The sequence below is a fragment of the Homo sapiens genome, chromosome 5 (assembly GCF_000001405.40).
Source record: "Homo sapiens chromosome 5, GRCh38.p14 Primary Assembly".
Lineage (NCBI taxonomy): Eukaryota > Metazoa > Chordata > Mammalia > Primates > Hominidae > Homo > Homo sapiens.
This window is the reverse complement of record NC_000005.10, coordinates 99,505,994-99,518,348: the sequence shown is the minus strand read 5'-3', so window position 1 is coordinate 99,518,348 and position 12,355 is coordinate 99,505,994. Positions and strand designations below refer to the sequence as shown.

The 12,355-nt window shown below is 39.0% G+C and overlaps 2 annotated features.

Moving 5' to 3' along the window:
* Positions 1,917-2,117: a silencer, noted in NCBI's record as "peak5368 fragment used in MPRA reporter construct". NCBI's record gives its function as "represses an SCP1 promoter by STARR-seq MPRAs in K562 erythroleukemia cells {active_cell/tissue: K562}" and the evidence as "EXISTENCE:reporter gene assay evidence [ECO:0000049][PMID:32103011]".
* Positions 2,277-2,477: a silencer, noted in NCBI's record as "peak5367 fragment used in MPRA reporter construct". NCBI's record gives its function as "represses an SCP1 promoter by STARR-seq MPRAs in K562 erythroleukemia cells {active_cell/tissue: K562}" and the evidence as "EXISTENCE:reporter gene assay evidence [ECO:0000049][PMID:32103011]".

Genomic DNA, 12,355 nt, shown 5'->3' with positions numbered 1-12,355 from the left:
AAAAAAAGTTTAGAAATTTTTTTAATATAAATAAATAAGAACATCTTTTTAAACAAAATCTTAGGCTGTTGAGTCCCGTTTATTTTCTACACCTCTAATTCCAAAGCTGAGAAACAAACGGATACTTCAGAAAAAAAAAATAACTCATGACAATTTGTCTTTTGGACACAGAATATAAAGGAAAAATAAAATTTATGTCTAACTGGCCAGACCTCAATTGAATTTTTCATCCTAGCTGGTTCCTAAATCCAAATCAGATACTTATCAATAAAACTGTTTTTCTGCACAGCTACTACTAGCTAGAAACTGCTTCTCCAAATTTATACTGACTATTTCTTCTAAAATGTTGAAATTCTAGCTCATAGTTTTTAAAAAACCATTCTTAATGTACTGATTCCAGAGTACTAATTCCAATGGCCAAGAAAATTCAAAAAGATTTGGAGTGGTCTCTGAGATTAGAATGTGTGACAATGTGAAGCATTTCACTACAACGTCCAAGATTAAAGTGTCAAAGCAGATGAGGAAATGAAGCTCCCAAAACAGATGCCCATGAGAAAGGAGCCCAGAAAAGCAAAAGGGGCCACAGCCCAGGACCTTACAATAAAGAAAAGTGGCTCTGGCCCCATGGTAGCCTTCCTGAAACACTGGGAAAGAATGAAGTCCTTAGCAAAATTCTGACCAGGATCGCAAATTTAAATGTAAGCTTGTAAGGAAAACACCTATGGACTTGGGTTTAAATTTGTCCATCTAAGATATAAAATTACAAGTTTGACCAAATGTGCCAGTTGTCCACTTATTGTCTCTCAGCTCTGAATTCATCCTTTCCTGTCTGCTCTGCAAAAATGAACTTGGACCCTTTAAACATTTTTCCTTTGCTAGTTGGCATGATGTTAGATCGACATTGTAAGAGGAGATTTTCCTCTTCTTTCCAAGAGTCTTGTGTGCTCCTCTTGGCAGGCTTCTGTACTGCAACACAGCTTCTCCAGTGTCCAGATCCAGAACCCGTGCAGTTTGCTCCATTGTCAGGCTCCTGAAGTGCACAGCAGTCAGCAGCACCCAGTATCTTCCACCAGTACCTCCACAAGGCAGTATTATAGCAGAGTGATTCTGATGAGACAGATTTCTACCACAGCAACTTCTCTTCATTCAGTGAGCCACAGCCATGCCCCCTCAAACAGGGTCTGGATCTTAATCCCAGAGGCCCTGGATGTTCTATCTCAACCCCAGGGGTTGATGCTCCTTTTATCTGTTATTCTTATATTCCTTAGAGTTCTCTTCACTTTTTACTAGCCAATCCTCATTGCTCCAAAACCCTGTTATAGCTAGCAGTTCTTCGTATTAATCTTTCCTTGTTCAAATTACATGTGATTTCTCTATTCTAATCAAACACTAACTGATAGATCAAATTTCAGGCAATTAATCAAACTGAGAAAATTATAGGGCATTATGTCTAATTTGTTATTTTATGTATTAGCAAACACATAAGATCTGATAATCAGAAAGTTCAGAGCGCTAAACCAAAGTCTCTAAAGAATGGAAGGAATCAGTTCACAGGATATATGCTTGTTAATGCTACTCCCATTTGGGGGAAGTGTAATTTTCTCCAGTAACCAGGAAAAATAAGAGATCACTTTGTTTCTTCTGATGATTTATTTTTATTTTAAAAGGGAAATGAAAATCTAAAAAATATAAAAGTTTAAGAAGACAAAGTAGAAACAGTCAATGGCTCCATTTCTCTGGCAAACTAATCAACCAAACTGTTCTATCTACATTTGACGGGAAACCCAAAATTTCAGTGATCCCACACTAATGTTCACATTGTTTTTCTGCTATATAGGAACACTTTTAACATGTTCCCTCTGTCTCACTGTTTGTCATGTACTATCTGTAGACTACTTTGCCAACATTAAAATGAAATGTTCAGCTTCAAGCTCATCATTCCTGTCTCACTTCACTCCGAAATCTGCTAGCCACAGAGTTAAAAGGACAGGATTAAGAGTCATTAGACACAGTACTAAGGCGAATTAAAGGGCCTGTTCAAGGGGCATAACATCTGCTCCTCAAATTCCTGCCTAAACAATGAAGATTCCGATCAGAGAGAAGAGAGGGAAAGCCAATCTAACCAGTAAACCGGAGTCATGAGGAAGTGAATGCTCTCTCAGGGAGTAACTCTGACACCAGAGGAAGGCTTAGTGACATTGTACAATTGTTTCTGTGAAGTCATTCATGGGGCAAGTGGGAGTATATGAGTAGAAGTGGAAGGGAGTGGGAAGGTGAAGATTGAGGATCCTTTTAAGTAGTTTTTGCTCAGCTAGCAAAACAAGCTGGGACATGCAAGACAGATAAACACAGCTGTCTGGGGCTGTCACTTGGGGCTCAGGAGCCAAGGTGTCCTGCTGTAGTGAAAAGTGCACCGGAATGTGAGTCAGGAGTTCAGGGATCCAAGTCCTCATTCTGCTGCTAACTAGCTGCGTGATGATGAGCAAGTCCACTGGCTTCACTAGACTCAGTCTCTTTTTTTTTTTTTTTTCGATACAGAGTCTCGCTCTGTCACCCAGGCTGGAGTGCAGTGGCACGATCTCAGCTCACTGCAACCACCACCTCCTGGGTTCAAGCAATTCTCCTGCTTCAGCCTCCTAAGTAGCTGGGATTACAGGCGCGTGCCACCACGCTGGGCTAATTTTTGTATTTTTAGTAGAGACGGGGTTTCGCCATGTTGGTCAGGCTGGTCTCAAACTCCTGACCTCGTGTTCCGCCCACCTTGGCCTCCCAAAGTGCTGGGATTACAGGCATGAGCCACCACGCCCGGCCTCAGTCTCCTTATTTCATGGGAAATGAGGAGACAAGACTAGATGGCAGCACTATACAGAGATGCTCCTGAACCCACGGAGTTCATGTACTAGTTAATATAACTTTGCTGAGTCCTGGTTTCCTCCACTGAAAAAAACATGAGAAATAATACTTTTTATAAAATTGGGTGAGGATTAAAAATAATATACATAAAGACACCTAGTACAGTAACTGAAACAAGTAATTATTATTATTACTACTTTATTTCCAATGCTAAGATTATTTGAGGGGTATAAAATCTTGGTAGCCAAATGCAATGTTATTTCAAATGCACTACAAGTTAGTATATGTTTAGTACATGTCTTAATTATTGCTAACCAAAATACTCAAGACTTACAAATTAAGGACTTGGGCCGGGCGCGGTGGCTCACGCCTGTAATCCTAACACTTTGGGAGGCTGAGGCAGGCGGATCACGAGGTCAGGAGATCGAGACCATCCTGGCTAACACGGTGAAACCCCGTCTCTACTGAAAATACAAAAAATTAGCCAGGCGTCATGGCAGGCGCCTGTAGTCCCAGCTACTCGGGAGGCTGAGCCAGGAGAATGGCATGAATCCGGGAGGTGGAGCTTGCAGTGAGCCAAGATCACGCCACCGCACTACAGCCTGGGTGAATGAGTGAGACTCCATCTCAAAAAATTAATTAATTAATTAATTAATTAATTAAGGACTTGTAAATGTCACCCAAAAATGTAAAAATATATTTTGTCAATATAAGGTTGATTCTGCAGAGGGTGCAAAAAAAGAATAGAAATAAGGAATCCTTAAGAATTTGGAAATAGGAAATATAGAAGACGTCTAAGGAAAAAGAGCTGAGGACTTCATCAGACTTCCCTACTCCAAATGCCAAAAGAAATAACCTAGAAAAATATAAAATCAGGATAAATGAAAGGACTACTGAAAACTGGAAATTATCCAGAAATTTCTAGTAGGAAAAGATCAGAATGATTAGGAAAGCACCACCCAGAAAGAGTGCAACAGCCTCATATGAAAGTACCCAGAAACCATGAAGTCCATGGGCGGTTCATTCTCAAAGCAGCAAGGATGCCCTTACGGAAGCAGTTGTCACAAAAATTAGGCAGCAGGCACAAAAAACAATGTGGAAGAGATAATATAGGGTTAATAAAACAAAGGCATATAGTCAAAAACCTACTATCTTTCCTAAAACTACAGCATACGGGCCGGGAGCAGTGGCTCACGCCTGTAATCCCAGCACTTTGGGAGGCTGAGGCGGGCAGATCATGAGGTCAGAAGATCAAGACCATCCTGGCTAACACCGTGAAACCCCGTCTCTACTAAAAATACAAAAAATTAGCCAGGTGTGGTGGCAGGCACCTGTAGTCCCAGCTCCTCGGGTGGCTGAGGCAGGAGAATGGCGTGAACCCAGGAGGCAGAGCTTGCAGTGAGCGGAGATGGCGCCACTGCACTCCAGCCTGGGCAACAGAGTGAGACTCTGTCTCACTCTGTTGCACAGTTTACAACAACAAAACTATAGCATCCATCACATAGAGGAGAAACTCCCCAACACACATATAAGGATTACTCTCAGCCCCAGCTCCCTCAAACTTCCTAAGATCACAGACACATTCCACTGGCCACAAGCAGTGAGGTTAAGAAGGTAAGGAGATACAAGAAGAATCTTTTCAGCCTGTATCTCACCAGGCAGAGAGCGTAAATAAGAAGAGCAAAATAATAAGCGGTTGTGAAGAGCTTTTACAGTAGGGTCAGCAAACTTTATGTGAAGGATCAGATAAATATTTGAGGCTTTGCAAGCCATATATGATCTCTGTATCATATTCTTCTTCATTATTCTGGGGTTTGTTTCACAACCCTTTAAAACTGTAAAAAATCATTCTTAGTTCAAGTGTCGTACAAAAACAAGCCATGGACTAGAGTTCAGCCACTGGTCACACTCTGTACTGTTCTAAGATATAAAAGACAAAGAATATAGCTGTGGAATTTTTTTAAAGGAAAAAGAACATATTATCAGACTGTTATTTTGTGCTGAAAAAAAATTCAAGAAAACGTCTCATCATTACATATAATGCTATAATAAATAAACTTGTTCCTGACCATTTCCACATATGTGGATATATCTGTCAGAGGAATTCCTAAAAGTGGATTACTTGTTCAGAGGGTATATGCATTTGTAATTTGGAAGAGAATGCCAAATTGCCATCTATGAGACAGTGCCAATTTACACTCCCACCATGCCTGATAGTATTTGTTTCTCCAAATCTTGCCATCATAGTTTACAGTTTACATAAGAATAAGATATACTGGCTGGGTGCGGTGGCTCACACCTGTAATCCCAGCACTTTGGGAGGCCAAGGCGGGTGGATCACTTGAGGTCAGGAGTTGGAGACCAGCCTGGCCAGTGTGGTGAAACCCTATCTCTACTAAAAATCCAAATATTAGCCAGGCACGGTGGTGCATGCCTGAATTCCCAGCTACTTGGGAGGTTGAGGCATGAGAATCGCTTGAACCCAGGAGGTGGAGGTTGTAGTGAGCCAAGATTGCGCCACCGCACTCCAGCTGAGGCGACAGAGCAAGATTCTGTCTCAAAAAAAAAAAGAAAGACATTATCAAATTGTTATGCGGAAAAAAAAGTCTGGTCATTTACACCCCCACCTTAGCCTTCTCACATTGGATAGTATATGTTCTCTTCACTTTTGCCAATCTTACAGGTAATATATAGTACCTCACTGGCACTTTAATTTTTCCTTCTTTATTAATGAAGCTGAATATCTTTGTTTATTGACTATTTGTATTTCTTCTGCTGTTACCTATTAATTCATTTCCTTTGGCTAGTTTTAGTTTTCAAATATCCCTTTCTTTATTTACAGAAACTGTATTATGGATAGTAGCCCATTGCTTTCCATCTGTGTTACAATGTTTTGTTTATAATTTGTCTTTTAATTTTGTTTTTGATGTCCTTTGTTTTCTGAAGTGTAAAATATCTTTTTAAATTGTAAAAGTAATTCATGCTGTTTTGTTATGTCATATAAAAATATAAAATGAAAGTTCTCCAATACCCCCACATAATACACTTCCATTTTTAGGACATAACCTCTCAAACTTTCCCTAGTAACTAAAAAACACAAATACATAAATTATATATTACAAAAGTGGAATTTTTTTGGAAACTACTTTTTCTTTTTAAAAAATATTTATGGAACTCTTTCTATCTAAGCAACAGACTGGAATATCTGTGACACACATATCTTATAAAGAACTTTATCAACCAATCCAAGAAAAGAACCCAGTTTTTAAAATGGGCAAAAGTTTTTGAACAGTTGCTTCATCAAAGAAGACATATAAGCTCAATATCACTAATCATCAGGGAAATTCAAATTAAAACCCAATAACATATCACTACACACCCAACTGAATGGCTAAAATTTAACATATTGACAATACCAAGCGTAGGTAAGGATATGAAGTAACTACAACTCTTACACATTGCTGCTAAGAAAGCAAACTGATACGGCATTTTTAAAAAGTTGGGCAGTTTCCTATAAAGTTAATACTCACATATCATCTGACAAAGCAATTCACACTTAGGTATTGACCCAGGGAAATAAAAACACCTGTCTATAAAAATGACCTCTACAGTATGGAGTATTTATAGAAGCTTTATTCCTTATACCTAAAAACTGGAAATAAGCCAAATGTCTATCAACTGGTAAAGAGATAAACAAACTGTATGTAATATAGTCATACAAAAGAGTACTACACAGCTATAAAAGGGAACAAAACTACTGATAGAGGCAAAATCAGATCAGTGGTTACCTGGGGGTCAGAAGGAGGGACTGACTGCAAAGGGGCTAAAGGGAACTTTGGAGGATAATCATAGTGTATGACTATGACTGTATGCATTTCTCAAAATTCATAGAACTGTGCAAGTAAAAAGAATAAATTTTACTAAATGTAAATTATACCTGAATAAATGTGACTTTTAAAAAGTTCATTAAAAGAGTAGAAAATTAGTAAAGTGAATTGGCTTAAGAAGTTTTCACAAATTGTGGCAAAAAAAAAAAAAAAAAAGGATAAAGAGAACTGGACCAGAGAGAGAAAAAGGGAAATGGAGAACAGATAACAGAGAGCCAAAGCTAAATAGCCTATACTCCCAGAAAACAAATCAGGGTCAGGTGCGATGGCTCACACCTGTAATCTCAACACTTTGGGAGGCCAAGGCAGGAGGATCACCTGAGGTCAGTTCAAGACCAGCCTGGCCAACATGGTGAAACCCCGTCTCTACTAAAAATACAAAAATTAGCCGGGCATGGTGGCGTGCCTTAATCCCAGCTCCTCAGCAGGCTTAGGCAGGAGAATCGCTTGAACCTGGGAGGCAGAGGTTGCAGCGAACCAAGATCGTGCTACTGCACTCCAGCCTGGGCAACAGAGCTAGACTCTATCACAAAAAAAAAAAAAAAAAAAAAAAGAAAGAAATCAGGACAGGTGATAGTCTTAAACAGTAGTCTGATTTTTCAGAGGTAAAATCCAATGTTACAATACTAAAAACTCAGAAATGGGAAGTAATACTTGAAAGACATGAGAGATATCAACTTAAGAATCTGTGCACTGATATTCCTTCATATTAAATAAATACTAGGTGAGTTATTATCTACTGAATGCTTTACTAGGTGCCAGGCACTGTGCCATGCACTTTATAATATATACATTATTTCATTTAATCATCAATCAGAACACCAAAAAACTGGTAGTATTAATTCTATTTTACAGGCAAGGAAACTAAGGGTCAAAGTGATTAAATGACATGCCTAAAGCCATACAGCAAATGAACAAGCCAAGACATAATTCAAATTCAGATTTTCATGAGTCAGAATCCATGCTCACATTCCATTATGCACATTAAGTCTATAGTTATACTTAGTTGCAGAATTAAATTTTACATCAACTAATATGCTATAAAAAAGAAAGAGGAGGAAAAATACTTCAGTGAAAATCTAGGACAGTAATCTCCCCCTCATTCCACTAAAACTGATAGTTATGGCACAAGCTCAGCTAAATTAGCAGAGAAGACAGTGTATAACACTCAATGACTACAGCATTGACTCATCCATTCTGATTTCCAGTAACAGAAATTTTTAAATTTCAGAATCTAGGATCGACTCAGAAATGCAAAACAGTAGGTATCTGTTTTTTTTTTATTTATTTGAACTCTGAAACTCTTTAATCAAGTAACTGTTCATACATAGCAAGAACTATAAATACCATGTGAATAGATGGAAATTTCTCAGTGGCAATCACTTTTAATATAAAATGAATGGAAATCATAAGATGCACTAAAACTCACTATTCAATTATCTTCAGAATACATATTTTTATTTTTTTAAAAAAAGCTAAACATATCAGCCTTAAGCCTGTAGCTCAAGGTGTCACTTACAGTGCAGAGCCAGTGATTTTAAAAACTGTTCCTTACTTGCCCTGAACTGATAGGGTTTAAGCCAAGGATTTCAGATCTTCCAGAAAAAGAAATCCTTATGCTTCCTTTCTTTTCCAAAAGGTGGGTACACCTTGCTGAAAATAGCCGTCTGCTCTATTTCTCAACAGAAAACTACTGAAAAAAAATATGAAACACTATTATTGTATGACTTATTTAATGAATAATAAGTTCCATGTATATCCCAAACACTGTTTTAGGTGATGGAATAGAAGTAAACAAATGTGAAAAACACATCATTTCTGATTGTTATAAGTGCTACAAAAGAAATAAATCAGGGTAATGGGTAGAGTGGGTGGTAGTGGAGAGGTGGGAGAGGAGCTACTTTTGACAGTATGGTGAGGAAAGGTCTCTTTGAGGAGCTGACATCTGAGCTGAGACATGACTCAAAAGAAGGTCACTGGATCTTAATAAGATAAAATTTTAAAATTATGTAACTTGATGACAGTTACAGAGGGAAGCAAAAACCAGGAAATTAAGTAAAAGGCTATTACAGACAGTTTACATAATTTTACCATGAAAATGTCAAAGAGAAGGTGTTGGGAACAGGCCCCCCAAAATCTGGCCATAAACTAGCCCCAAAACTGGCCATAAACAAATCTCTGCAGCACTGTGACATGTTCCTGATGGCCATAATGCCCATGCTGGAAGGTTGTGGGTTTACCCGAATGAGGGCAAGGAACACCAGGCCCGCCCAGGGCGGAAAACTGCTTAAAGGCATTCTTAAACCACAAACAATAGCATCAGCGATCTGTGCCTTAAGGACGTGCTCCTGCTGCAGATAACAAGCCCAACCCATCCCTTTATTTCGGCCCATCCCTTCGTTTCCCATAAGGGATACTTTTAGTTAATCGAATATCTACAGAAACAATGCTAATGACTGGCTTGCTGTTAATAAATATGTGGGTAAATCTCTGTTTGGGGCTCTCAGCTCTGAAGGCTGTGAGACCGCTGATTTCCCACTTCATACCTCTATATTTCTGTGTGTGCATCTTTAATTCCTCTAGCGCCACTGGGTTAGGGTCTCCCTGACAGAGCTGGTCTCGGCAAGAAGGAAAAATATATTCAGGTAAATAATGTATATCAAATAATAAACTGTGCTTAACAACAAAAGAAAAGCTTTTTTTAAAATTCAATTTTTATACTGGTAGACCAAGAAAAAAACACCTAACGTCAGTCTTTTTAAAGTGTGCTAGGTGAGTGAGAAACAAGCTAAGAATACTACAGCACCAAAGAGCTCTTCTGGAGAAATTCGTCAGAGATGCCCAAAATCCAGAATACTTTATTTACCTCAGCTTCACTCCTAGACTTGGACTTCTATCTCCCTTCCTGAATAGCTATGGGGGCGTTCTTTGTGTGTGACTGCCTCTTTGATATCCACTTACTCACCATGATGCTGTCTGTTGGATCTCAGACAAATTCTGATGTTTGCTATTCCAGGTGAGGAGACGGTTTGAAAACATCATACTATGTTTCCACATCTTCAAGACAGTCAACAAACTCCCTCAAGTTATCTTTGTGGATAATATAGGAATAATACAGATCAGTGACAAAAAGATGTGGGGAAATTTAGCTCAGTTACAGGCATGTGTGGATTCTCACTTGGGTGAAAAACGTAATTTAAAAGGTTAACAGACCAATGTCGGGCGGGGGCATGGTGGCTCACGCCTGTAATCCCAGCACTTTGGGAGGCCAAGGCAGGCAGATCACCTGAGGTCAAGAGTTCAAGACCAGCCTGGCCAACATGGTGAAAACATGTCTATACTAAAAATACAAAAATTAGCCGGGCATGGTGGCATGCACCTGTAATCCCAGTTCCTCAGGAGGCTGAGACAGGAGAATCACTTGAACCCGGAAGGTGGAGGTTGCAGTGAGCCGAGATCATGCCATTGCACTCCAGCCTGGGCAACATGAGACAGACTCCATCTCAAAAAAAAAAAAATCAGTGTCAAAATAAAGAAAGGCTTCTAATGGCATATGAGAGTTTGACCCTCCCATATTCCACAGGTATCAGCTGAATGAGAATTTACTGTACATTCACCAAATTTGCAATTGGCAAAACACAAGCAGTGATCATTAACATACACATTGGGTGTTACAATCAGAAACTAGAACAATGATCCAACAAAATTAAGAGAATGAAATTGAAGGGGAAAATAAATATAAAAATACATATGTTTCACTTTTTTTCTTTTGTCTTTTTTGTTGTTCTTGTTGTTGTTGTTGTTGAGATGGAGTCTCACTCTGTTGCCAGGCTGGAGTGTAGTGGCACCATCTGAGCTCACTGCAACCTCTGCCTTGCAGGTTCAAGCAATTCTCCTGCCTCAACCTCCCTAGTAGCTGGGACAACAGGCAGGTGTCACCACACCCAGCTAATTACTGTATTTTTAGTAGAGATGGGGTTTCACCATGTTGGCCAGAATGGTCTTAATCTCTTCACCTCGTGATCCGCCTGCCTCGGCCTCCCAAAGCGCGGGGATTACAGCCATGAGCCACCGCACCCGGCCTCACTTTTTCTTCATTTAAAAATCTGCATTAAACTTTAGTGAGTTTTTGGTGGTAGTATTCCTGTTTTTGAACTTAAGTCACATATTTTTATGTCTAGAGGTACCTTGTTATCTACCGTGGTAGTCTGTGTGTACTGGATTTGGCCACTTAAAGGGAGGCTCAAGATATGCACTATCCAATACAGCAGCTACCTAGCCACGTGTAGTTATTTACATTTTAATTAAAATTCGATTTTAAGAAATTTCAGTTCCTTAGAATTACTAAACACATTTCAAGTATTCAGTAACCCCATGTGATGAGTGACTACCATACTGGATGATACGGATACATAGTATCTCCACTACCACTGAAAGTTATATTGGACAGCACTCTTAAACTACTGGAATCATCAGGTGATGACCCTTGGAATACTCAATCAAACAGAAAGTACAGCGAGAAAACGATTTTATTTTCTTTCTTAACCAAATCAAAGGCATCAAGTCAGATTTTACTGTCTTTTCTTGAAAAAAGTAGGCCAGGGGCAATGGCTCACATCTGTAATCCCAGTACTTTGGGAGGCCAAGACGGGCAGATCACCTGAGGTGGGGAGTTTGAGACCAGCCTGACTAACATGGAGAAACCCCGACTCTATTAAAAATACAAAATTAGCCAGGCGTGGTGGCACATGCCTGTAATCCCAGCTACTCAGGAGGCTGAGGCAAGAGAATCGCTTCAACCAAGGAGGTAGAGGTTGCCGTGAGCCGAGATTGCGCCATTGCACTCCAGCCTGGGCAACAAGAGCGAAACTCCATCTCAAAAAAAAAACAAAAAGAAAAAGAAAATGTATACACTCACACAAACACACACATAGACACAGACACACACACACACATAAATATATACACATACAGATAAATTTAACAAAGACCATTTGTGACCTGTATAGCCTAAAATGCTACCTGGCCCTTTATAAAAAATCTTTGCCAACCCCTTGACCAATAAGTGTTTTCTTATAAATGACTTTTATCTTTTAATTTGAATATCAAATTAAAAGACATTAAGAAAAATTCTGTAATGCTAAATTTAAATTGGAACACAGTTACAATGAACAATTCTTAAATTGCTTTACATGTATACTGAGGCTGAATAAGTAAGTAAATGGATAGTGGAAGCTAGGTTTCTCACCATTGGAAAGTGATGATATGGAAAAGCAGGAAGGTTAGAATAAATCAACATAGTACTGGATTAGAATTAGAACATCAGTATGAACTGGTGTTCAGGTTAATGTGGATGTAGAGAAATACAAAATACTATATGCTATATACGTAGGTTAGTATAATATATATGCATGTATTTCCTAGCTTTGTCAGCTGAGTCAGCCTAAGAGCAGTGACATCCCAGGAGCAATGAGCATATTAAGAACCTAGATCTTCTAGAGCCAGAAATACCATTTGACCCAGCAATCCCATTACTGGGTATATACTGAAAGGATTATAAATCATTCTACTATAAAGACACATGCACACATATGTTTATTGCAGCACTGTTCACA